Here is a 27,764-nt window from a genome sequence, read left to right as displayed (position 1 = left end):
ACAACTCAAAAACAGGAAAGATAAAATCCATCATTTTGTTTTACTACCCAGATCCCTTCCGTAGCTGTCATACAGAGTGTGATTTATGACTTGTAAGTTGTGCTATGGAGCTTGACAAGTAAGTTTGATTTCATTTAATATTTTCTTTAAACCATCTTAGATCTTCTCTTTGACAAGTATTTCATCTATTACTGTTCTCAAAATGTAAAATGGGTAAGTTAATGAGAACAAAAATTGTGCCCTAAGATATATTTGCATTATTTACATATTTGCAATTAAATCTTAACAGATTTAATTGTAATAGAATCTAACAGTTTTCCTCTTGAAATTTTTTAGACACCAGAAATTTTTATTCCTAATAAATAATGTTTATCTTCCTAGTCACAAACCAAACAGAAAGCAAATTTCATCAGAGTTTAGAATGGTTAAAACCAACATAGCTGCAATATTTTTATTTTTGTTTTAAAATTTTGTTTAATCAGTAAATCAATCAGAGTTGACCATTATGTAATCCACAGACCTTGAAATAACAGATATATTTCTCTGCAGATCAATATCTATATACATTTTTAAGATGAGTAGAAATTCTCCTGAAGGTCATAAAGAAAAAGTATGTCACATAATACAGTAAATAAAAATAATAATTGTTATTAATTTTTTCTGCTTATTATGTTCCAGAATCTGTACTAAGCATTTTAGAGGATTATTTTATTTAATTCCCACAATAATCCCTTGAGAAATATACTACAGTTATTATCTTTAATTCACAGTTACTGAAAATGAGACACAAAGAGGTTAAGAATTTTGTCCAAGGTCAGGCAGCTAGCGTGACTTAGCAAGGGTGTAATTAAGAAAAAATATGTTTTTCTTATCTTATGGGAAATTTGGAAAAGCAAATATCTACATTCTCTTTTTAATTAAAAAATATAAAATATAAAATGTGAGTCTCTCTTAAAGCAGCGAATCAACTTTAATTAAATTGAAACAATACACAATCCTTTGTTGTTCAGGCTCTATATTATTATTATCTCTGCTGACAGCAAAAGCTAAGAATAGAAAATATTTCTGATCCAAGTTGGTAAATTATGAATCAACCTGCTAAAGAATCAGAATAGACTAACAAATGGAATTAAATGTGATTATTGTATATTACATATATAATATAAAAATTTCTTATTGTTATAGTTTTACTAAGATTCTACCAGTTTCAACTCAAATATAACATTTAAAATCCAAGCTTAATAAAAGAACTTGGCATGAGATGTTTTCATAGGAAATAGTGACAATTCATATTATTTTTAATTAAGTGTAAATGAGATGTATTATTTCTGTATTTCATTTTCCTTCTAAAAGTTATCTTTAAAGTTTTTTTTCTTTCTTTTTTTCTTTTTCTTTTTCTTTTCTTTTTCTTTTTTTTTTTTTGAGACGGAGTCTCGCTCTTTCGCCCAGGCCGGACTGCAGTGGCGCGATCTCAGCTCACTGCAAGCTCCGCCTCCCGGGTTCACGCCATTCTGCTGCCTCAGCCTCCCGAGTAGCTGGGACTACAGGCGCCCGCCACCACGCCAGGCTAATTTTTTGTAGAGACAGGGTTATTTTTTGTATTTTTAGTAGAGATGGGGTTTCACCATGTTAGCCAGGATGGTCTCGATCACCTGACCTCGTGATCCGCCTGCCTCAGCCTCCCAAAGTGCTGGGATTACAGGCGTGAGCCACCCCGCCCGGCCTAAAGTTTCACTTTTTCTGAAGTTGATAGCTATTACTAACTGTTTTGAGCAAAGTTTTTTGAGATAGATTAATTTATAAAATTAGGAAGAAACTAAAGTAGTTGCGAAAGTTTCTAAAAAGATAATAAAGTAGTTGTCTCTATGTTATAATAGAAAATGAGAATGTGAATGCAGATCATTTTGATTCTCAGAGTTTGTGTTTTCAGCAAATATTACCTGAATATTGATATATAAATTAGAATTCCCCAAAGGAAAACATTTAAAAATGTTAAAATTAATAAAATCATTAACTTACATACTTGTCCTTAGTATCAGGACAATCTCCAGTGGATTCAACAGAGCATCTGCAGTTTTGTTGAACAAAGTCTATATTCTGCAATATAGACTCATGGTGTGAGCTTACTGGTCACATTCTTTGTTCCTTCTTGGAGCTTTGGGAGGCATTTATAAAAGAGCTGCTGCAGTAGAAGGACTGAGTTGTATCACCCTGAGGATTTAAGTTTCTATGGAGAGAATCAAATTCACTTTAGTATAGGGATTTAGTAGGTTTCCCTAGCCTTATTAATAAAATACTAGTACGACATGAAAAATGCATACTTTGTCTTAAAATAATCCAATTAAGACACTATTTTTGCATAGCAAAATTCTTTACCAAACACCAGTTGCAAATCAAGTGAAACTGCTTTGGCAAGAGGTGATCATAACGCTCTCCTACTCCTGCCCTTTCCTCCTACTCCAGCTGAAAATACTTGCTGCAAATGTCCTTTTATAGGAGACTTTGACTCCAAGGTGTAGAAAAGGAAAGGAAAAGGTCAGATATATATGTCTTGTCTATAACTGAAACCTAATACCAGCACAAAAGCCTAAAAGAACCGATGTTTAGAGGGCGTTGGCAGGAAACTCTTTGCTCTGCTATCATCTGTTTTAAGCTACTTTGATACATGATTTATTTTTTCAGCTTCTACTCTGCTACTATTCAACTGCAAATGCAATTTGTTATATTGTACACTTCAACACCTTGAACAATATCTTAATTATTTTTGAAATGTATTACAAGTTCATAAAGAAAACAGCATTTTGTTTCTTCAGTCATCTACTTTGGATGAACGTGTTATTTAGAAAAGAATAAATGGGAAAAATGATATATTAAAAATAAAAATTGCATATTAACTTTTTAGATCAAATAAACCAATTTTAAGCATTTTCATGGACATTTATAACGAAAATAGATAAACATTTAAATACAGATGATTTAATTCAGTATTTTGTTTCTTGAAAATATTGGAATATGTGTTTTAGATAATGCATATATTTCTGTTATTGAAAAATAAGCTTTCAATAGTCAGCTGACTTCATATGTAAATAATAATACCATTTTAAACTTATTCAAGGATTTAGGTGTCCTTAAATATGATTTTATAACTTATTTTACTCCCTTAAAGTAAATATTTATGGCATCTGTAAGTCATTGTAAAATTGTAAAACTGGCATAGCATAGTATACAGATTGTCCTTTGTAATATTTTATAGTATTCACATTTGTATTTAATCACAAATTTGATACAATTTAGCCAAACCTTCAATACATTTATGAAGAGGGCACTAGTGAGACTTTATACAATGGAATAAAATAACAAAATGTGCTGACAGCATTTTTCCACTCAAAGAGGTATATATATTTTTTATACTATCTAATTCTTTAACTAACTTTATTTTTTTAGCATCCAGTGGTGGAGAACATTACTGGAAGTGTGATTAAGGCTATTATAAGATACATAAACTGTATGGCATAAGCATTTTCAACTCAACTTCACACTCTACATTGTTTATGAACTTAGTATGCCAGCTTTTTAAGTGTGGTGGGATCTGGTATTCCACACTTATATGTCTCTGAATCCCACCCTTGTACTGATGCCAAGATGAACTGAAGCAAGGATGAATTTTTCTCTTACATAGAAACATGAATATATTCCGAACTGGAGTGAGCTCTCACTAGCGGTTTGCCTATGGTGATTACTTTGTGCCTTGTAATGGGTCATGTAGTATCCTCATAAGGGAGTGTCTGTGTCCTAGACCCTCTCCCATTCCAGTACCTGTAAATGTCACCTTATTTTGAAATAGGAGCTTTACAGATATAATAAAGTTAAAGAACTCAGGGTGAGATCATCTGAATTTAGAGTGAGTCATGGGTAGTTGGGACACAGAAACACAAGCAAGGTCATGTGAAGATAGAGACAAAGGTTAGAGTTATGCTGTCACAAGCCAAGGAGTGCCAGGAGCCACCAGAAGCTAGAAGAGGCAAGAAAGGATTCTTCCCTAGAGGCATCAGAGGAAGTATGCCTCTGCCTCCACCTTGATTTTGGTCTTCTGGCCTCCTATAATTGAGAGAGAATTTTTTGTTTGTTTGTTTGTTTGTTTTACTATTTTAAGCCACAAATTTTGTAGCAATTTCTTTTGGCAGCACTGGGAAACTAGTTAATGCCTCTATTATTTGGTTAAACAAAAAACATTATTAAGTATTTTTAAAACAATGTATAACAGTGTTGATTATGGTAAGCATACAATTTATAATTAGATAGGTTTCTGTGTAAAATTTCATGTTACTGTATTGATTTGTTTTAACCACACAAGACTTGCTTGGATGTGGTACTATTGAATACCATCCCCATTCCCTCCTGTCCCACAGCTTTTTGAAATTTATGGGGCTTTGTTCTAGACTGAATATTCCTTTTCCTTCAAATTTCATATGTTAAAGCCCTGCCCCACAATGTGACAGTATTGGGAAGTGAGGCCTTTGAGAATTAATTAGGTTTAGACAAAGTCATGAGTGTAGGGCCCTCTTCAATGGAATTAGTGTCCTTATAAGAACAGGAAGAGAGTCTATAGAGTGCTCTCTCTCTCTCTTTCTCTATCTGCTGTTTGAGGATACAGCAAACCGGGAAGAAGACCCTTACCAGGAAACAAATTTGCTAGTACCTTAATCTTGCACTTTCCAGCTTCTACAATTGTAAGAAATGTCTGTTGTGTAAGCCATTCAGTCCATAATATTTTGTTATAGAAGCCTGGACTGACTGATATAGGCTGGAACATGCTGGAGAGATGGTACAAAAACTAATTTTAGAAAAATATTTTAAGTTGTAAGATCTGACGCAAAAATCACTTAAATATTTCCATTTACATCACCAAATTACTCCATTTACAGTATCAAATTAAGGAAATTTATGTTTTATTCAAGCCTTTTAAAATCAGCACACCCACCTTGCGGAAGTAATTAATAACCCATGATTATTAATTATGTTTGCCAAGTTAATTTTCATCCAGTATTACTTGCAAGGAAAGTTTGAAATTGATGAATCATCTTCCTCTTGAGATGTCACTTGTGGAACTAAAGGCTACCTATAATTTCTGTAATCGTTACTCTTTAATGGAACTTTAAACTTCTAAGAAAAATATTTCAATATATTGTTAAATTGACTTAAATGACTAAGATTGTGGTGGAGAGGATATTTCCCCAAACTAACTCTTTCTATGATACTTAGGGGTTCATTGTAATAGTAACACCTTGCTAGCAATCATCTGCTAGTGATTTGCTCATGGAAGAAGGCTAAGGAAATTTAGGTTTGATGACCTTTTTCAGGGTTTCTGGGAAAGCAAAACCTGCCTCTCTCTACCACCCACTGCAAACAAGCATGTTGTCCAAGCTACTGCTGCCAACCAGGTCACATCCATTAGTGAAGTCAATGCTGTGAAGAGAGACATTCAAACCTGGGTCACTGATAATATCATTTTCAATTTCTGACCCAATCAATTCTGGGTCTCCCAATTCCTCTCTCCGTGGTCTTATTGTAGTAATACGTTTTTTAAACTGTTGAAGTCACATTGAGCGGAAATTTCCCTTAATTACAACTCTTAATATTTTAACTATTTATGCTAAGTTTATTTGTTCCAGAAAAAGTACTTTAATTCACTTTCATTTTTGTAGGACTTGAATTTTTTAGGGCAGTTTCAGTTTCACAGAAAAATTAAGAGGAAGATAGAGATTTACCATATATATATATATATAGTTATATATATTATATATGATAATATACCATATATTACTATATATGTCTTACATGTATGTGGAGGCAGGGTGTATGTTTTTTTATATATATAAAATATATATATACACACACCCTGACATAATGTGTATATATAATATATATATAATTATATATATTATAAATATATATTATATATGTAATATATCCTGCCTCCACATGCATGGCCTCCTTCATTATCATATCCTCCTCCAGAGTGGTACAACTGTTAAAATTGCCTCACCTACATTAATACAATTTTATTACCCAGTGGTAAATATACATAACATAAAAGGTACCATTTAATCATTTTCAATTCTAAAACTCAGTGATATTGAATACATTCACAATGTTGTATAATTAACACTGTTTTCATAACTTTTGTATCACATCAAACAGAAGTTCTGTACCATTAAGCACTAATTCTTCATTCCCCTTGCCCCAGCCTCCATGCTCTGGAAACATGCAATCTGCATTCCCTCTACATGAATTTGACTATTCATGATCTTTCATATAAGTAGAATCATATACTGTTTGTCCTTTTGTGTCTGGCTTATTTTATTTAGCATAATGTTTTCAAGGTTTATCCATGTTGTAAACATGTATCAGAACATCATTCCCTTTTTATGGCTAAATAATATTCCCTTGTATGTACATGCCACATTTTGTTTATCCACACATACAGGTTTGTTTTCACTTTTTGACTCTTGTGAATAAGAATGAGTGATGTTATCTGGCGTGTGCATGCAGCCACTTTCTTACTAAAGACCAATAGCATCAAGCACTCTACTAATGGTTGTTATTTATCTGATTAGGATCCAGAGTTCCAAAAAGGTTAATTCTTATTTTTTGCAGTTTAATGGCAGTTTTTGTGGAGGGACTGACTTCTAAAACTTCCAATCTTCTAAAATCCACTTTAAAAGAATGGTTTAAATTATGTGCTTGTAGGATGAAATTGATAAAAAATTATTTTACCAACTTTCAAAATTGCATCACAGAGATAATGTCCTTTGACTATTGGGTGTTCACATATTTGGCATGTTATAAACAACTTTCTGGAAGATAAAGGCCTTTTGTCTCATACTTAATATTAAGACAGGAACCAGTGTGCTAGCAATGGCTTTTGGGTTTGATGTGATATATTTGTATGTAATGATTTTTTTAAAAGTTAGAGTGAAAAATCCTCTCATACAAAACAAAATAGTTTTTACTGTTATGAGAAAGCAGTCATTAATCACTTACAAAACATGCAAGTATCTTTATGATATTTGGTGATTTATTTTTCTCCAGTCATCTTGTGGAAAAAGTTTAGGTCTCTGAAGATTTCTCAGTGCGTCATAACTGACAGCAGCAGGAATGTGGTTTTGCTAAAGGCAACAGAAAAGCAAAACTGTCTCAAGGTTTTAATATTAATCCAAAGGTTAAACTTTCTTACCTTAATGTTGCTGCTTTCTGTATGCACATCCCAAAGGAGGTAGGAAGGTGGAAAGGACGGAGGAAGGTAGAAAATGTAGAAAATTAGAAAATTAGGTAAACTTAAAAGGTAATAAGACTAACATTCATTCATTCACATTAAGCTCCTACCTTGTACCACATTCTGTTGTAGGCCCTGTGGATATAACACAGGGCCTTTCCTTTTTTCCTGTGAAAAAAAGGAAAGAAAAAAATATATGCCTTTTTGGAGCTTACATTCTCTTGGAAGGAGATATATAATAACATAAAAAATTAAACTATATAATATGTTAAGTGTTGCTAAGTGCTATGGAGGAAAGTAAAGCAGACAAAGCAAATAAAGAACACGAGAAGGAGATACAATTTTAAGTAGGGAAATAAGGAAGGCATGACAGAGACAGTAGCATTTGAGTGAAAGACTTGAAGAAGGTGATGTGGTTTGACTGGGTCCCCCACTAAATCTAAAGCTTGAATTGTAGTTCCCGTAATCCCTTAATGTGTCATGGGAGGGACCTGGTGGGAGACAATTGAATCATGGGGGCAGTTACCCCCATGCTGCTGTTCTTGTGATATGAGTGAGTTCTCATGTTCTCTGAGGGTTTTATCAGGGTTTTTTCCCCCATTTTGCTTGGCACTTCTCCTTGCTGCCACCATGTGAAGAAGGATGTATTGCTTCCCCTTCCACCATGATTGTAAGTTTCCTGAGGTCTCACCAGCTGTGCAGAACTGTGACTCAATTAAACTTCTTTCCTTTATAAATTACCCAGTCTAGGATATGTTTTTATTAGCGGCATGAGAAGGAACTAATCCAGGAGGTAAGGAAACAATCCAGGGGGGAATTTGAAGACAGGTGTTTTCAGTCAGAGAAACCATGTACAAAGCATCTAACGTGACAGTGCTATGGTCTGAATGTTGACAACCCCCCCAAATTCATACGTTGAAGTCTAATTCCAGTATGATACTATTAAAAGTTAAGGTCTTTGGAAGGTGATTATGTCATGAATACAGAGCCTTCATGAAGGAGATTGGTGCCTTTATAAAGGATGCCTGAGGGGATTGGTTTGTCCCTTCCACCATATGATGACTCCACCATATGAAGAATAAGATGGGTCTATGAACTAGGAAATAGGGCCTCATCATATACGGAATATGTCAGCACTTTGATCTGGGACTTAGCTTCCAGAATTGTGAAAAATAAATTTCTGTCATTTATAAGCTACTTAGTCTATGGTATTTTGTTATAGCTGCTCGAATGGACTAACACAGAGACAATTCCCAGGCTGCCCAAAGAGCACCAGGAAGTGTTGGGTGCAGTAAAGATGGAACAGAGGCACAAGGGGAAGAGCAACAGGGCTGTGATCAAAGAGGTGTGCCTGGTGGGGAGCATGAGTAGAGCTGTATAATCTGTACAATAATGACTGAGAGTGGAATTAGAAGTCCTTAAAAGTGAGTGAGCAGAGTGGCATGATCTCTATGATATTATGTTATATTCTTGCTTGGGTATTGAGAATAGACTGAAGGTGAGGGCTAATGCAGAAGCAGGAAGGGGGATAAAAATTCAGATGAGACATGATGTTGGCTAGGCCTGGGTGGATAACAGCAGTAGTAAAAATTATTTAAATGTTTTGAAGGTAGGTTTGCTGAGAAGTAAAGGATGTGTGGAGATTATTGGATTGAGAATTGTATAAGGACTGTATTGTATATTGTATGAGATTGTAGATCCAGGATGAGTCACAGTATTTTTGAAGTTGTAGTAAATGGAATGAACTAGAAAGATAGAAGTTAATGTTCAGAAGGCAGGAAACTTAAAAGTTAGATTGTAAAAATTTGCAATTAGGAGTAATAACATGGTTTGAGCTGAGATCATGAGATTGAATAGCTAGATACTGAAGATAGCAAGTACGTTGGAAATGACGAGGTCAAATGTCAAAGAAGATAAGTAATTTAAATGAGATATCAAAATAATGGCAGTAAGTCAGGTTGTAAAGACTTCAAAGAATGAGGGAAAGTGACTAAACATTGGGAGAGTGATCAATATAATCAAATGGTATGAGATTCCAAGCTGGAGGGGTTTGAGGAGAAGGAAGTAGAAGTATTCTGCAAGAGGACACTTATTCTACTTCTAGAGGCAGTGGTTAGAGCGCTGAGGGTGAGAACTAGTCTGCACTTGGGGGGCTACATGAGAAGCAGCAGCATCAGTGAGAGACAGATGACAGTAAGAATGAAAATGTAAAGGGAAAATTGAGAAATTATAAAAATGGAGATTCTTCTGTGTACTGTGTACATTTCTTACAGAAGCTTTCAACACATTTAATTTCATTTGAATCTTGCAATACTCTTGAGAGATATTATCATTCCCCTTTTACCAAAAAAAGGCTGACTGGCCAAGATCACATAAAATCACATAAATAATAGAAGTCAAAAGTATGACTTTAACCCATCTAGTGTTACAAGAACCACATAATCTTCAATAAATTGAGAGTATCTTAACTAATTAATTAAATTTTAAAAATTAATAATTTTTTAAAAAGATGTATTCAAGTTATAAATTCAAAGAGAAATGAACATATTACTTAGAAACAGCCCCGGATTAGAGTCCCAATTATATCACTTAATAACTGTGTGGTTTAGGTAAGCCATGTAAAGTTGCTGTACTACTTAAATTTAAAATAAAGACAATTTTACCTAAGCATAAAATTGTTGTTATGTTATTGTGCAGTTATAAATCACTTATTAAATTATAAATTTATGATAATTATTAAAGAGAATACTTAATTTTAAGCCATAAGGTCTTCTATTAGAAAAATATTCAAATATAATGTGATATATCACTCATTTTTATAAATAAAAATATAAAATTAATTATAGCCTTAATAAAAAATTTTGGAAGTGCATTACCAAGACTAAATTTATATTTCATAAAATGAATAAATTTAAGATGTATACCTTAACTTTATGTATTTCTGCACTCATATTCACACCAGCCATGTTAAGGTAAGGAACAGTTTCACTACCACAGAAAATGTTCTGGTGCTTTATTCCAGTCAGTAACAACCACTGGTCAAATTTGTCTGGAATCATACAGATTTTACACTTTTGTATCTGACCTATTTTACTCAACATGATGTTTTGGAGATTTATCTATGCTGTTTTATGTGTCAATATTTTATTTTCTATTGCTATGTATTATTACTCTGTAAGTCAATATTATAATTTGTTTATCTCTTCTCCACTTTATAGATGTTCCATCCAGTTTTTGCCTACAAAAAAAACCTGCCATGAATAATTTTATATCTGTCTCTATTGTGTGAATACACACCCTCATTTATTTTTGGTATATACCTATAAATTGAATCACGATGTCATTGGGTATTTGTGCAGTTTAACTTTATAAGAAATTGCCAAACTTCTTTAAAATATAGCTGTAAATTTACTCTCCCACCACGAATGTATGAGATTTTCTTTGTTTCATAGCCTTTTCAACACTTGCTATATTCAGTCCCCAATTTTTTTTCTTAAGAGATGGGGTCTTGCTCCATCACACAGGCTGGAGTGGAGTGGCACAATCATAGCTCACTGCAGCCTTGAACTCCTGGGCTCAAGCTATCCTCCCATATCGGTCTCCAGGTATTTAGCCATTTTAATTTTACCAGTTCTCTTGGATATGTAATGACATCTCATTGAGGTTTTTATTTTCATTTTTTCTGATGACCAACTATGTTCAGCACATTTTCTTTTCCTGATTCCCCATTTGGCTGTCTTCTTTTATGAACTGACCGTTCAAGTCTTTTGCCCACTTCTAATTGAGTGATGTATCTTCTGCATAACAATTTGTAGGATTTATTTACTTTCCATAGAAATATTTTGTCAGGTCTGTGTATTTCAAATGTGTTATCTCACTGTGACATTTCTATTCATTTTTCATTGAGGTAAAAACATAACTTGTGATCTATCCTCTTAGTAAGGTTTTAAATGTACACTATAGCACCGTTAAGTATAGGCGTGATGTTGCACAGAAAATCTTTAGAACTTACGCAACTTACACAACTGAAACTTTATACCTGTTGAACAGCAACCCTTCTTCCTCCTTCCCCTAACCATTCTATTCTCTATTTCTATGAGTTTGACTATTTTAGAAAGCTCATATGTGTGAAATCATGCAGAATTTATCCTTCTGTGACTGGCTTATCACGCTTAGCATGATATCCTCCAGGTTCATTCATGTTCTTGCAGATGGCAGAATGTCCTTGCTTCTTAAAGCTGAAAATATTCCATTGTATTTATACGCCACATTTTCTTTATTCATTTATGTGCTGATGGACATTTAAGTTTTCAGATTTTGTTGTTTTGTGAGTAATGCTGCAAAGAACATGGGTATGCAGGTAACTCTACCACATCCTGATTTCCATTCTTTTGGAATGGAAATTCCAAATTACCCCTCCTAATAAGTGGTAAGTGATATCATATTTTGGTTTTTATTTGTATCTCTTTGATCATTAGTGACGTTGAACATCTTTTCATATACCTTTTGGCTATTTGTATGTCTTTGAAGAAAATTTATTCAATCATTTTGCCTCCCTTTTTAAGTTATTTTTTTCTGTTGTTAGGAGTTCCTTATATATGTAATGAGGTTTTTTTGAATAAATGAATATAAGTTTAATATAGTAAAAACATTAACAATTTTTATTTTTATGTTTAATACATTTTGTGCTCTCGAAAAAAAATCATTATTTATCTCACTCAAGATCATTATGATGTTCCTCAAAGTATTCTTCTAGAAGCTTTAGCATTTATATTTGGGTCTGTGATCCATCTTACATTGAATTTTGTGCATGATATGAGTGAGATATTAAGATTAATGAAAATGCTAATTATAATAGATTCTCAGGTCCTAGCCAAAGCTTTTGTATATTGGGATCTCTTGAGATCTAGGTTATTTAAAGGTAATAGACGATCAGTATTAATGAATTTGTTTTCTTTTTCCATCTGGTGGTTCTCAACCTTTGTTCCATATTATCATCAAGTGGTTTGCTTGCTTGCTTCTTTTTGTCATTGCTTTTAGTAGCACTGCCTCAATCCTACCTTCAAAAATTCTAATTTGATAACCTGGACATCAGGATTTTTGGGGAGAAGGGGACAGGGTCTCACTTTGTCACCTGGGCTAGTGTACAGTGGCATGATCATAGCTCACTGCAGCCGCAAACTCCTGGGCTTGAGGGATGCTTCTGCCTCAGCCTCTCGTGTAGCTTGAATTACAGGCTTGAGCCACCATGCCTGGTGACATTGGGATTGTAATGGGTCTCCAGGTGAATCTAATATAAAGCCAAGTTTAGGAATCATTGACAAGCTCCAAAAGCCTGGAAAAAATGTATACATGAAGATAGAGGTTAGTGTTACTCTCTCCTTGGATGAAAACACCTGACAAGTTTTATTGATTTATTGGGAAACAACGCTGGAAGCAGTTTCTCCTCTGCCTCTTTAATCCCTTGGCCAGTGCAATCTTGAGTTAAGCATAGACTCACTATTAAGTCTTGTAGGGTGAATACATCTTTACTTCAACTTTTCATCCACTTTATCTTCATCTCGGAGAATTATTGTGAAAAAAAAAGTTCTCAGTGTATAACTCATATTAAGTAAAAGACATATAATATATTGTAATAATTCAGCAAATATTGCTTGTGGTGTTTTACCTACTTTACACTTGTGGAAAGTTTAAGGAAAAATTTTAAATAGTCCTACATTATTTTCATAGAAGAATCACAGTAAAATAAGAACTTTGCAAGTCCACCATTTTACTACGTTGCATTATTTGAAAAGAAAACTAATTTTGAAGTGTCTGATGATTTCAAAACACAGTTCACTATTATTTAATTAGTGAAAGGAGATGCATGCGAGGATTTGAAATAGAATTTTTAACATTGACTTAGATACTTTCCCTAAATGTATTAGACATAAAAGTAAATGGTATTTATATATTTGTTTGTAAGATGCTATAATTTTAAATTTAAATGTCTATGTAGCTTTTTCTGAAAGAAGCTGTTCTACTATCATAGAAGCAATTTTGGGGCATTTCTCTTACTTGATTGACTCTTTTCTTATCCAGATGCTACCCATTTTCAAGATTGCACAGACTCCACTTCTATAAGGGAACTCAGCCCACAAGGCTCTCATGTACGTCAGTAACATCTATATCTTTATTATACCACATATGCCTTGCCCTATCAAATGAAATTGTATACCACGAAGTCAGGACCATATCTCACCTCCTCTGTAAACTCCACAATGCACAGCATAGTGTTACTCATGGGAAAAATGAAATACTTTTGATTGAAATGGGTTAACATTCTTCTCATGTTAAGGAACATACTTCTTTAATTGTACCTGTTGTTATGCCGGTTGTAAGACTTACTCTTTTCTCCAGAGTTGATATCAATAATTTCAAAACATATAAGAATTGAAGATAAATGGGGAAACAAACAATTTATGAAGGTCAAAACTATGAAGTAAATTTCAGTTCATGGTTATTTGGTAGAAAAACTAGGTTGGAGAGTATGGTTCACATTTGAGACCAAATTAAATATTATTTAATAGATTTCTTTCACACTTAGTTGAAGGAAAGCATGCAGTAAAAATTTAGCTTGACCAAAAACCTGACTTGCTCTTGGCAAAAATTGTGGTGGAGAGAGAGAGAGAGAGAGAGAGAATGAATAACCTCTACCCTGTGGGAGGGTCTTTCCATTCCAAATGGCACAAGTAGAGAATCTGATGAATCCGAGCCTAGGAAAGTCAAAAAGGAAGCAGACTGGCATCCAGTCATTGAAGACAATAAACCTGAACACTAAGAAGACATGATTAAATAAATGTCAGGTTCTGAACAATTAAACTGGTTACTTCTGTTACATTGAAGTAAAGAGAGAATACCTTGGAGTCTAACATAGTTTTCCAAATAAAAAGATAATGAGGCAGAAGATGACACTTTGTTTACTAAATTTTCTAGTTCATACTGAATAGTTTAAGTAGAACTTGAAAGCCAAGGTCTCAGGGAACCATTTTTAAAGTGCTTTTCAAAGAGCTCATATTAAAATAATTATTTTATATGTAAATAACAAATAATTAGATATGAGGCTCACAAATGAAATATTTATGTTCATATAATATGGCTAATGTATGGTAACAATAGTATTAAATCTATAGATCTATGATGGGAGAATTACTAGAAAAGCAATAGTAGGTCTCCCAATCCATGAGCATGGAATGATTTTCCATTTGCTTAGATTATTAGTTTTCAGCATACAGTCCTTACACACATTTTGCTAAATTTATTTCCAAGGGTTTATTTGTATAGTATTGTGAATATAATTATTTTCTTAATTTTTTTAAGAGATAAAGTGTCTTTCTCTATCTACCAGGCTGGAGTGCAGTAACTTGCAATGATAGCTCACTGCAACCTCGAACTCCTGGGCTCAAACAATCCTCTTGCCTCAACGTCCTGAGTACCTAAGACGGAGAGGTGAATGCCACCATGCTTGGCTAATTTAAAAAAATGAATAAATTCATAGAGAAGAGGATTTGTCTTTGTTGCCCAGGCTGGATCTGAACTCCTAGCCTCAAGTAAGCCTCCTGACTTGGCCTCCGAAGGCACTGGGATTACAGGCCTGAGCTATTGAGCCCAGCCACTTCCATTTCCTGAGGGCTTTATCAATGTATTCTTCATTGTATTGGCTATAACTTCCAGTGCAATATTGGATAGAATTAGTGAGTAAACATTATAGACATCTTTGGCACGTCGCCAATTTTGAGGGGCAAATATCCAATCTTTCATCATTAGATATTGCTGTAAAATGTAGTGTTTTTGGTTGTTGTTGTTGTTGATGTCCTCTATCAGGTTGAAGAATTTCCATTCTATTTTTTTTTATTAATTCATGTTAGATTCTGTCAAATCCTTTTCCTGCATCATTGAGATAATCATTTCATTTTAGTTCTTTATTTTATAACACAGTATATTACATTACATTTTATATTTAAAATACAAAAACAATCTTGCATTTCTGGGATTAATTTCACTTAGTCATGGAGTACAATCATTTTTATATATGGTTGAATTTAGTTTGATAATATTTTATTGGAGATTTTTGTGTCTATATCTGTGAGGTATATTGATCTGTAATTTAATTTTAATTTTTATTTTTTAAATTTCTTTTTCTTTCTTTTTTTATTTTTGCCTTTGAATATAGGCCTTATAACATGAATTGGGAAGTTTCTCTCTTTTTCTATTTTCTGAGTATGTGTATCATTTCTTCATTGAATATGTGAAATAACTTACCAGTGAAGTCCTGTATATTTCCTTATGAAAGACTTTTAATTGCTAATTCGATATATTTATTCAGATTTTCTATTCATTTTTGTTTCAGCTGTGGTAATTTATATGTTTTTAAGACTTTCTACCTTAAATATAAGTTGTATAATTTGTGATCAAAAGTGTTTCATAGTATTTCCCTTATAATTAATATATTTGGATGGGATGGGGGAGGATTGGTAGTAGTAACCTTTGTTCCTGATTTTGGTAGTCAGCACATTATCTCTTTTTTCTTTCTTTTTTTTTCTTTTTTGAGACAGAGTTTCGCTGCTGTCATCCAGGCTGGAGTGCAATGGCAGGATCTGGGTTCACTGTAACCTCCACCTCCTGGGTTCAAGTAATTCTGCCTCAGCCTCCCAAGTAGCTGGGATTACAAGCACTCGCCACCATGCCTGGCTAATTTTTGTATTTTTAGTAGAGATGGGGTTTCCGCATGTTGGCCAGGCTAGTCACAAACTCCTGGCCTCAAGTGATCCACCCACCTCAGCCTCCCAAAGTGTTGGGATTACAGGCGTAAGCCACTGTGCCCGGCATTTTTTATTATTCATCATCTAAATATTTCTCAATTTTGTTTATCTTTGCAAAGATTCAAACTTTGGATCTTTAAATTTCTTTATTGTTTTTTGTTTTATTTTCTATTTCATTGATTTCTGCTCTAATCTGTATTATTTCTTCGTTTTTCTTGCTTTGTGCTCAGTTTAGTCTTCCTTTTCTAATTTCTAAGGTTGGGAGAATGAATTATTAATTTAAGAACTCTCTTTTTAAAATAACTTTTAAATTTTGATATAATTGTAGATTTACTTACAGTTATAAGAAATAATATAGAGAGATCTCTTGTAACCTTATCTCAGTTCTCCCAGTGGTAACATCTGGCAAAAGTATAGTACAATATCATAAGCAATATGTGGAGATTGATATAGTCAACATACAGAATATTTCCATTACCATGGAATCCCTCATGTTGTTCTTTCCTAGCCACATCTATTTTCCTCTTTCACCTCATCTTTAACCCTTGATAACCACTAATCTTTCCTCCATTCTCATAATTTTATCACTTCAGTAATGTTCTACAAGGGAAATTCTATATCATATAATCTTTTGTGGTTAGATTTATTTACTCAGCATAATTCTCTGAAGATTTATGGAGGTTGTTGTCTATATCAATAACTTGTTTCTTTTTGTTGCTAAGTAGTGCTTCATTGCATGAATGTAATACATTTTGTTTAAACTTATTCACTCCTTCAAAAATGTCTGGGTTGTTTCCAGTTTGGGGTTATTAAAAATAAAGCTGTTCTGAATATTTGTATAAAGTTTTTGAATTAACGTGGTTTTTAAAAATTACCCTGCTGTAAATGCCCAGGAGTGAAATTACTGCATCATAATGTCATTGCCTGTTAAACTCTTTGTTTGCTTTTTAAAGAAAGTATCAAATTGTTATAGAGAATGGCTTTGTTATTTTACATTCCCATCAACCATGCAGCAGTTATGTAGTTTCTTTGCAGCCTTGCTAGCACTCAGTATTATCATTATTTTTTATTGTAACTATTCCATTGGGTATATATTGAAATCCCATTGGGGTTTTAATTTTTCATTCCCTAATGGCTAATGATGTTGACATCTTTTCATGCTCTGATTTTCCAAACATATATTCTTTTCAGTGAAATGTATATTCATGTCTTTTGCCCACTTTCTAATTTGACTTTGTTCACTCCTAAGTTTTGAAAGTTCTTTATATATTCTTGCTACTAGTCTTTTTCAGACACATGGCAAGCAAAAGGGGAAGGAAGCAGCTCTTTTTTACTGTCAAGTTGAGGTGAAGGTCAAGGTTCCCCATTAGGCCTTCTTTGCCACACAAAAAGTAAATACTCTTGTGTTTTTAAGGTAAAGTAATGAATGCCAAGAAAGACTCAAATTTTATTTATGTACTGATCATAAAAATGAACTATGATTTATAATTCTTCTCTTCCATTTTCATTATACATAAATTAAGAAAACAAAATACATCATGCTCAATAATAAGGATTCTGAGTAGAAACTCACCAGTTCACCTTAGCTATATTTTCCCTTTTGGGTTTCTTTTCTTTTACTTTTTTCTCTCTCTCTCCTTTTTCTTTAAAAATTTTGGAGTGTAAACATATACATCATCTTAATTTGAGTCCTTATGTGTTGACGGTGTGCAGGGAAGAATGGGAAAGTAACTGTTAAGTGGAGCTCAGAAAGAGCTAACAAATTCTTGAAAAAGTGAGATTATTGCTGGTCTTTCAATTTTTTTTTTTAACTTTCTGTTTCCTCACACTCTTCCGTACTAAATGAATTTTATATATATATATTTTTTTGGTTGTTGTTGTTGTTGTTGTTGTTGTTGTTGTTTTGTGATACACAGTTTTGCTATTGTTGCCCAGGCTGGCATGATCTTGGCTCACCGCAGCCTCCACCTCCTGAGTTCAAGTGATTCTCCTACCTCAGCCTCCCAAGTAGCTGGGATTACAGGCATGCACCACCGCGCCCGGCTCATTTTTTGTATTTTTAGTAGAGACGGGGTTTCTCCATGGTGGTCAGGCTGTTCGCAAACTCCCGAACTCAGGTGATATGCCCGCCTTGGCCTCCCAAAGTGCTGGGATTACAGGCGTGAGCCACCGTGCCCGGCCGACAGGTGTTTACGAGTTACAGACTATGTGCTTTGAGAATGAGGCAACCGATTTAAGGATGTAAGCATAATTTAAGGATATTGAAAATGATATAGGAATAAACTTGGTTTAGTCATTCATGGATTTATTCATTCTTCAGATGACTATGTGTGTGAATATTTAAGAATTCTAAAACCACATGGGGTTACTTATAACTATATAGGAGCCTAACACAATAATGGAATCAGAATATACTTTGCTGAAGGGAGGAGGCTTTTAAATGAAAATCTTCTCTCTACGTTTTTATGTTTCTAGCAAGAATCCACTGAAGACCCACATTTCCCCGAAGGTTAACAGCCCCCTTCTCAGTTTTTCTGGTAAAGTGTTTTTATATTGGTGGAACACCTGTCACACTCTGTATTTTTCTTATCTCAAGTAGAAAAAATTTTGCCCTTTTACTTGGGACTGTTAACAGCCCTGGTAGTGGAAAAGTAGAAGGAAATGATTCTGTGAATTTTCTGTTATATAAATTTTAGCCAATTTAGGGCTTTTGAATGAGGGGCCATACAGCCAAGGATTTAGGATTTCAGCTCAGGAAAGAAAACTACATAGGTGTTTAATTGTGTCCTAGCCATTTATTAGCTGGGTAACTTTGAGCAAGTTTTATATATATCCTTCCCATGAGTTTTTCATTTCTAATACTGGCTTAGTAATACAGTATGTTTCATAGACTTGCTGTAATAATTGATGGAGTGTATCTAATAGTGTTTATTTTACTGTAACTGGGCCACAGTTTGGAAGTACTCAATTAAAATTAGCTGTCATTATTCCTAGTATTAATATGGTGATGAACAGCTAAAGAGCATTTAAATAATTATCATTAATATGGATAAATTTTGAGTATACCTGAATAAATATTTATAATATAACTGTTGAGAATATACAAGTTTAATATTTTAGGGAAATACAATGTCAAATTCTATGAAGCTCTATTCTCACACTAAAACAATAACAGTTTGCTTTCAGATATTTTGAATATTATTGTGACATTTCCCCCTTCTACCTTTCTGGGACCTCGGATATAGGAACCATGTAAGGGTAAATATTCTAGGTCTTCGTTTTGGGACAGGGGTGATATACTACAGTTCCACAGGGGCTGAGCCAGGTTTCAAGGTTGAGAGAGCTGATGGTAAAAATAACAATGAGAGCAAAGGCCAAAATGTATGGAATATTTATTATGTGTCAGACATTTTTCACTAAGCATTCTAGTACAATATTTCTTCAGATCTATGAGGATCTTAATCTTAAGTAGTAAATGGTTTTATTATAACCACTATACAAAATAGAAACACTAACATAAAAAGGTTAAATAATCTGTTTAAATTATCTTGGATTAGGAACCCAATTAGCTGTGTCCTTAGAACAGAAGCTGGTAGCACTACACTGAACTATACCACACTTGCAAGCCTTCAGAGGAAAATTCCCTAAGAGAAAATGGTATCTATGACTCAATATTTCTTCCCATACCCTCAGTGACTTACGGTATTTATTTACTAAATGCCAAAGCAGATAGTCCAATAGGAAATATGTAGCTAAATGGCCTGGGAAGAGAAGGGAATGTCAAATAACAGGCAAAATAGAATCTGACACCCTAGGTCTCAGCAAGTGTTTTGAATGGACAATAAAGAAAGTGACTAGAATATAACCTCTGAAAAAATGTTGTGAAGCACCAATGGACTTGAAAAAATCTAGGGAGCTGATGTAAAGGACATCCACTTCATACTGACAATTGTTGAACAAATTACTTGTTGGAGATGGAGTTGCAGACAAAACAGATATTTACCACTGCTTTAAAATATGTTTATTTACTCAGGAGAAGAGTCTGGAACTGTGGTTTCAGAACGAGCTTATCCAACAGTAAGAAGAGGACTGGGGCATACCTTTTAAAATAATAATGATATATTTATATCCTAGTGTGATTTATTTACCTTTTAGTAAATCAAGTTCTCAGAAAAATAAAGTAAAAAAATCTTAACATTACATATGCAGGACTTAATCTGAATAATCATAAATTTTCATAAACATAATTTACATACCACACCATAGTAGCTGTGATATAGTAAATTCATAAGTTTTCTGACTATGGTTTAGCTCTTTCATTCTAAGAATAAAAAAGATTCTATTATGTCACAAGACATGTATCTGGATGGTTAAAAAAATCCAATCATACATAACTGAAGAAAATATAGGTATTTTAGTGGAATAAGAATGTGATATACAAAAACAGAAAAATAAATAACTTCAATGTTACTTAAAGAAATAGAACTAACAAAGATGCATCATGGAAGAGAGGATAGTTCTCTAAAAACACATAAAATAACTTTCTAAGATGAAAATTTTACATATATAAAAGCATTTGTCAATGAAAGTAATAATAATTCCATTCATGCATTTGTTCATGTATAACCAATAACTTTCTTGTGATGTCATAGAAAAAATTCAAGCATCAAATCAAAAAGCAAATTTTATTACGTAAGAAACAGTGGCCTTTAAACTGACAATATATTTGTTTGAATAAAAAATATTATTACTTTAAAATAATCAAATTAGCAAAATACATGAACATCTTAATTTTTGGTATGTGTTTAAATATCAGGACATTTACTCATATTCTTCATAAACAGAGTCATAAGTCTTAGTAGATGCTGCCATGTGTAGGCAGGTTGTCTTCTCTAATTATCCTCAGTCCCCACCATTCCATAGTGTCCCCAGTAGAGATACTACTGACATTTTTCATTTGTTGCCATAATTCAGCTGTTGTTTTTCATAGTCAGCTTGCCTTCTTTATTTTAATATTTATATACCATGTAGGCATCTCAGTGTTTCACTCTTGCTGTGAGACAGCCATAGATCCCTTTTGACCTAGAGTTTTTTATTCTTTCTTTTTCAAAATTATTTTCCCTAAAAGAATGGAACCTATAAGCCTCCAAATAGTGCATTTAAACTCAATCACATCTAGAAAACAATGCTAAACTATTCAGAAAGAATGAAGAGAATAAGTGAATTCTCCAAACCCAGAGCTAATGAGTGCCAGCTCTGAAAATGAAGTCCTTGATTCTTGACATCTGGCCTAGTGTGCCTAGGAAGTATAATCGGTTACTCTGACTCAGTCATTTTAATAATTGAAGTAAACTACTTAACAGTTAAACATTATATACTTAAAATACTTAAATTAGCTTAGATATAATCAAAGAATTTCGCTTTTTAATTCCAAATAATGAAGTGTTTGGTTGTAGGGTATTAGATCTTTCATGGAAGAAAGTAGTCCCACAAGTCTAAGTACAAATTTCAAATGTAAAATAAAACTGATCAAGCCAGAGACCAGGTTTGGCAAAAAGTATCACATGATATGACTTGTAAAATGTCAATTATTGTGAACAGTTTTAAAAAGACCTCATCAGACCGTATTGCATGTACTCGTAAAGGGGAAAAGAAGTAAATATCAGCATGTATTGAATACTTTATACCCATTATACATCGGGCTTTTTAGATTCATTCTACCATTTAATTTTCATGGACATGCTGGGGATAGGGTATTGTTATCATCCCTATTCTTTAGTGAGAACTAAGATTTACCAAAAAAAAAGTAAATTTTCCAAAATTAATTACTAATAATGTGTACACAGACCATTTCCAAATTCATGAGATAATTGCAGTTTTAGTTACTTTAGGCTGTTAAAACAAATTACCGTAGACTGGGTGACTTAATCAGAAAACGCTTGTTCTCACAGTTCCAGAGGCTGGAAAATTTAAGATAAAGGTGCTTGCACATCCAGTGACTGATGAGGGCCTATTTCTTTGTTTGCACGTGGCCATTTTCTCATTATATACTGACATGGCAGAGACTGAGAAAGAGAAAGAGATTATCTCTTTGGTGTCTCTTCCTATAAGAGTATTAATCTCATTCACCAACTAATTACCCCCCAAGGGCCCACCACTGAATACTATCACACTGGGAACTAGGGTTTCACCATATGAATTTTGAAGGTACATAGACATTCAGTTTTAGCAATTGCTAACAATATTACTCTTACACAACCATTTTTCTCACCTAAATATTTTCAATCAATTATTTAATAAATGGAAGCAGTGGGATTACCTTGTCATGACCATAAGAATTTATCTGGGAGATGTGTATGTATGTGTGTATGTTTATCATGGGGAGAAGTTTGTGAGTAGAAGCAATGGATTGAGAATCTGGATAATAAGAAAATATTCTATTGATCCTGGTGATTTGAATGTAAGATAGGAGCTGGTCGTCAACTGATTTAATCAGTGGGTATTTCAGTATGAGGCATACTTGGTGACTAAGCTTTCATGTGGTAATCTGAGGTGAATATTGACATAGAATTAGAATTATAACTCACATAAATTCACACAAAAACATTTTTACATTGCCTACTGATTTTTATACATATAACCAAGAAATAAAGTATATGGTGGCTACCTTTCTCTAGGGATTTATAGGGTAATTAGACAAACTCTTCCAATAATTATAAAAATAAGAACTGAAATAACAAGTGCATATTCTGAATTACAAAAATCATTCAAAGTAACAAAAAGCTTATATCTTTGATCCCAATAACCTATTTTAATTTTCTTTTTAAAATAAAAATGTTAGAGGCAAAACAAAAGTGCCATAACTAAACCAAGTACAGACAAAGGAAATAGGAATGAGAAACAGTGTATGTGTGTTTGTATGTGTGGGCATGCCTATAGGTATAGTTGTGTGTGAATTAAAGTGAACACACTTGTTAATTGAATAAAATACAGTAAGTGTTTGTATATGTATCTGCATGTTTGTGTTGTATTTTGGAGTTGTTATTCAGCTTTTACAGAATGTTCAAATAGAAAACCAAATAGGATTGTCACCTATATTGCATAAATAACCAGAGAAAAGTCACTTAAGTGGCCATAAAAGAAATGTTGAAAATAAATGCAGAGAATTATATTTAGAGTAAGAATACCCACATGTATTACAGTCCCCAAAAAGCAATTAAGCAGAAGAAATTGCTTTTAGAGCTTGGAAAGATTTAAAGTGTTACCATTAAAGTTTGAGTTGGGTGTTACTCCATGAAGAGAATATATCCTTAAACACTGCTGCCCTGTGCAGAACATACTCACTTTGTGGACAAAGACATAAAGGCCCTGATACTGGACCTGTTGCTGGTTAGAAATGTCTTCCCATGACAAATGGGATCTAATTAAACTAAAAGGCTTCTGCACAGCAAAAGAAACTACCATCAGAGTGAACAGGCAACCTACAGAATGGGAGAAAAATTTTGCGATCTATCCATCTGACAAAGGACTAATATCCAGAGTTTACAAAGAATTTAAACAAATTCACAAGAGAAAAACAACCCCATCAAAAAGTGGGCGAAGGAAATGAATAGACACTTTTCAAAAGAAGGCATTTATGTGGCCAAAAACATATGAAAAAAGCTCATCATTACAGAAATGGTCATTACAGAAATGCAAATCAAAACCACAATGAGATACCATCTCGGGCCAGTTAGAATGGTGATCATTAAAAAGTCAGGAAACAACAGATGCTGGAGAGGATGTGGAGAAATAGGAACACTTTTACACTGTTGGTGGGAGTGTAAATTAGTTCAGCCATTGTGGAAGACAGTGTGGTGATTCCTCAAGGATCTAGAACTAGAAATACCATTTGCCCCAGTAATCCAATTACTGGGTATATACCCAAAGGATTATAAATCATCTACTATAAAGACATATGCACACATATGTTTATTGCAGCACTATTCACAACAGCAAAGACTTGGGACCAACCCAAATGTCCATCAATGATAGACTGGGTAAAGAAAATGTGGCACATATACACCATGGAATGCTATGCAGCCATATAAAAGAATGAGTTCGTTATTTGCAGGGACATGGATGAAGCTGGAAACCATCATTCTCAGCAAACTAACACAGGAACAGAAAACCAAACACCACATGTTCTCACTCAGAAGTGGGAGTTGAACAATGACAACATATGGGCACATGGAGGGAAACATCACACACTGGGGCCTGTCGGGGGGTGGGGGGCAAGGGTAGGGATAGCATTAAGAGAAATACCTAATGTAGATGACAGGTTGATGGGCAGCAAACCACCATGGTACACATATACCTATACAATAAGCCTGCACCTTCTACACATGTATAACTTAAGTATCATAGAAAGAAATGTCTTCGTTAATAATATTTCTCACCTTTTCTAGATATAAATTTAATTCACAATTGGGCAGGGCATGGTGCCTCACACCTATAATCCAAGCACTTTGGGAGGCTGAGGCAGGCGGATCACCTGAGGTTAGGAGTTCAAGACCAGCCTGGGCAACATTGTGAAACCCCATCTCTACTAAAAATACAAAAATTACTACTTGGGAGGCTGAGATAGGAGAGTCGCTTGAACCCAGGAGGCAGAGGTTTCAGTGAGCCAAGATCGCGCCACCACACTCCAGCCTGGGCAATAGAGCGATGCTCCATCTTAAAAAAAAAAAAAAATCAAAATAAAATAAAATAAAAAATAAAAATAAAATTTAATTCACAGTTGTAACCAGCCTAAATTAAAAATATTTCTTAAGCAAAAGATTGAGACTTTATGTTTTAGATAATTGTGTTTTTATGACAGAATACCTACACACACAAACAAACAAACTAAAGAACTTTTTCTGTTATATACCAAATCATACTTTTATTAGTGTGGTTAATTTTATCTTTCTCTCTGTGTGTTTCTCTCTCTCATCAATTTATTTATTATCTATCTCTTAATCAATCCATCCATTCATCCTTCCATTCAATCTTCTATTACTTTTAATATTTTTAAATAAACTGCCTTGTTGTTGTGATTTGTATTAATGTAGACTGGCAGAGCATGATATGACAGACTTTTATTTGCATGGAATCTCCTGAAATCAGCTAATAATTCACTATGGACTCTATTTACTCAGATTAATAACTGTGCAGAAATGTCATTATCTGAAGAGCACAAATCTGGGGACAGACAGAATTTTAGTCATGGGCTCTGTCATTGACTGACTGTGTGATTTTGGTTGCTTAAATAATCTAGACTCTAGTCTCCTCAATTATAAGACAGGAATAATAATGGACTTAACTTTATTATATGTTAAGCAACATAAATTGCTTCGGGTATTCAAAAAAGATAATTAATGCTGTGGATTAGGAATCTGAAATAGAAGCTTGAATTCCCAGGAGCGAAACAAATTTAGCAATACTTGCACGACTATTGGAGAACCAGGCCACTTAACAGGTATACATATGCCCCTCTGGCTACCTCCTAGATATTTTCTGCCACATCAGCAGTAGGCAGAGGACCAGTTGGCTTAGTGTCTATATTGTTTACATGTGGCAGCTCAAACAATGTGATATGAATATGAACTAAGGAGGGAGACACTTCACACTTAACATCTGTTCTTCAGTTTCCCCAACAGGATTCCTCCAAATGTGAAAGGAAACTCATCAATAACAAGCTGAGAAATGAGTCTAAACAACTGACATTTTGGAATAACATATTTGACATTTGTGAGGTCCACCGGTTGTGGCTTAATCAAGAAAGCCATCAGATATCCACAGTATCCATCTTTTAGGCATACACATCTAAAAAACACATCCATTTGTCTTAATTTAAATCCATATTTTAACTTTCAAAATATTATTTCATGGATATTTTGCCACACAATTATGCTAGTTTTTACTATTTTCTCCCCTAATGTGTAAAAGAACAAGAGAATACAAATTCCTTGGCATGTCAGTTATTTAGTCATTTCAGATTTTGATATTTCCAGAAGTCATAAGAGGATTCTTCTCTCACAGATGTAATTATAAAACACATTTGATTTACCAACTTTTAGTCTTCTGTTTTCTACAAATTAGCTGTCTTGTGCAAATGGAGAAATAGCATATGTATTTGGTACTAAGTTTCTCTCGTAGTTGTCAGAACCTCACCAGGTCTGATTTTATTGTTTTGTAAGAACTGGGCTTTAAAAAAAGTCAGACCATATGATAATTTTGATATTAAAACTCTTCTGAAAGACTAAGTGAATGAACTAGTCATCTATATTCACTGATTAAAAACAAAATAAGACAAACTTACTCCATAGTATAGTACTTTGGGTTTGTCTAATTAAAAAAAATTCATTTACAAATACCATTTCTGAGGAACAATAGCATTTCTCTAGGATACATCTACATACATGCAAGTGAAGAAAATAGCTTTTGTGTTTACTTTATGTCTTGTAGGAGTTGTATAGCTACATAAGAGTATTGTAATGCAAGAGGTACATCATAAAAACTGCTTTGTTATATGTTGTGTGCATGTATATTTGTGCATTTACATATCAACAGCATACTCACTGTTGTTCAGTAGCATATTTTGTGATGAATGATGAAACCAGTACAAATTAAATGTGAATTTGACTTATGAACTCTTCACATCCACTACCTCATAAACATTACAAGCTAGAGAATGTAGGGATTTGAATCCACAAACCACAGATGTCAAGATTAATACATTACGTTTTGATTACTTGAAACTGCCTGTACAATTGAATTTACAGTTGTTTTTTAAAAAAGAAAATAGAACTGAGAAGAAGTGCTACAACAATCATACTTTGTGATTTAAAAGAAAATAAATACTACTAGTTCATGCCCAGAAAAACAAAAACAAAAACAAAACAAAAAACTATGGGAATTTTATTACCCTTATCTATACTCTCCCACCTGCAAGAAAAAATTCCTCTCCTCACAATGAATAACACTAGGTAGAGGAAATATCTCTGCTTAGGTTTAGAAGGAAGAGAAAAAAAAACATTGTGAAACATTAGTATGTAAATAAGAATCTGAAGGCAAAGGCAATGTGGAGAATAGGGCATGATTTCACCTCTGGGAGGGAGATGTAGCCTGGCAGGCTCACAGCGACTTTTTCACAGTCAGAGCCACCTACCCAAAGGTAGAAACCAAAGCAAGTGTAAATCAGAAAAATAATCCTCAGTATATTACATTTAATGTCAAAACATACTTTGTAGAATATATGAACTGCAGTCTTATTTTGAGAGCTAATCTAGAATTATGATTATATTTGGAAGCCTGATTCTGTTTGCCTCATTTGGTCCATTTGGTTGTACATTAAGGCTTGAACAGAAGGTTTGTGCTATAAAGCTGTCTTTAAATAGGCTCCATGACATTTAAAGTTATCTGCTCGGAAATAATCAACTTTTTCAAATTCATAATAGCCTTGCTTTGGGGAAATTAGTTTCAATTTGATGAGCAAATGGATCACTAAGGATCACTGAGGTGGGGAGTAGTGATGGGAAGCAGTCATAGAAACCACTAGTTAACATATGTCACGGCTAATAATATCAGGTATTTTGATGCTAGTGTCAATGAGATCGAGCATGCCAGTTAATTTCAAAGAAAATAAACAACAACAAACACTTTGA

The 27,764-nt window shown here is 33.7% G+C and overlaps 1 long non-coding RNA gene across 1 annotated transcript in view; it reads left to right on the top strand.

Annotated features, from left to right (window-relative positions):
* The window catches only part of LOC124902418 (uncharacterized), a 30,001-nt gene extending 2,237 nt beyond the window's left edge, over positions 1–27,764 (top strand). The window contains exon 2 of the long non-coding RNA XR_007062137.1: positions 52–27,764. This is a non-coding gene — a long non-coding RNA (uncharacterized LOC124902418). The remainder of the gene's footprint in view (positions 1–51) is intronic.

This window comes from Homo sapiens, chromosome 10 (assembly GCF_000001405.40).
Source record: "Homo sapiens chromosome 10, GRCh38.p14 Primary Assembly".
In the NCBI taxonomy this organism is placed as follows: Eukaryota; Metazoa; Chordata; class Mammalia; order Primates; family Hominidae; genus Homo; species Homo sapiens.
The sequence above is the reverse complement of the archived record's forward strand: the minus strand, read 5'-3'. Positions and strand labels throughout refer to the sequence as shown.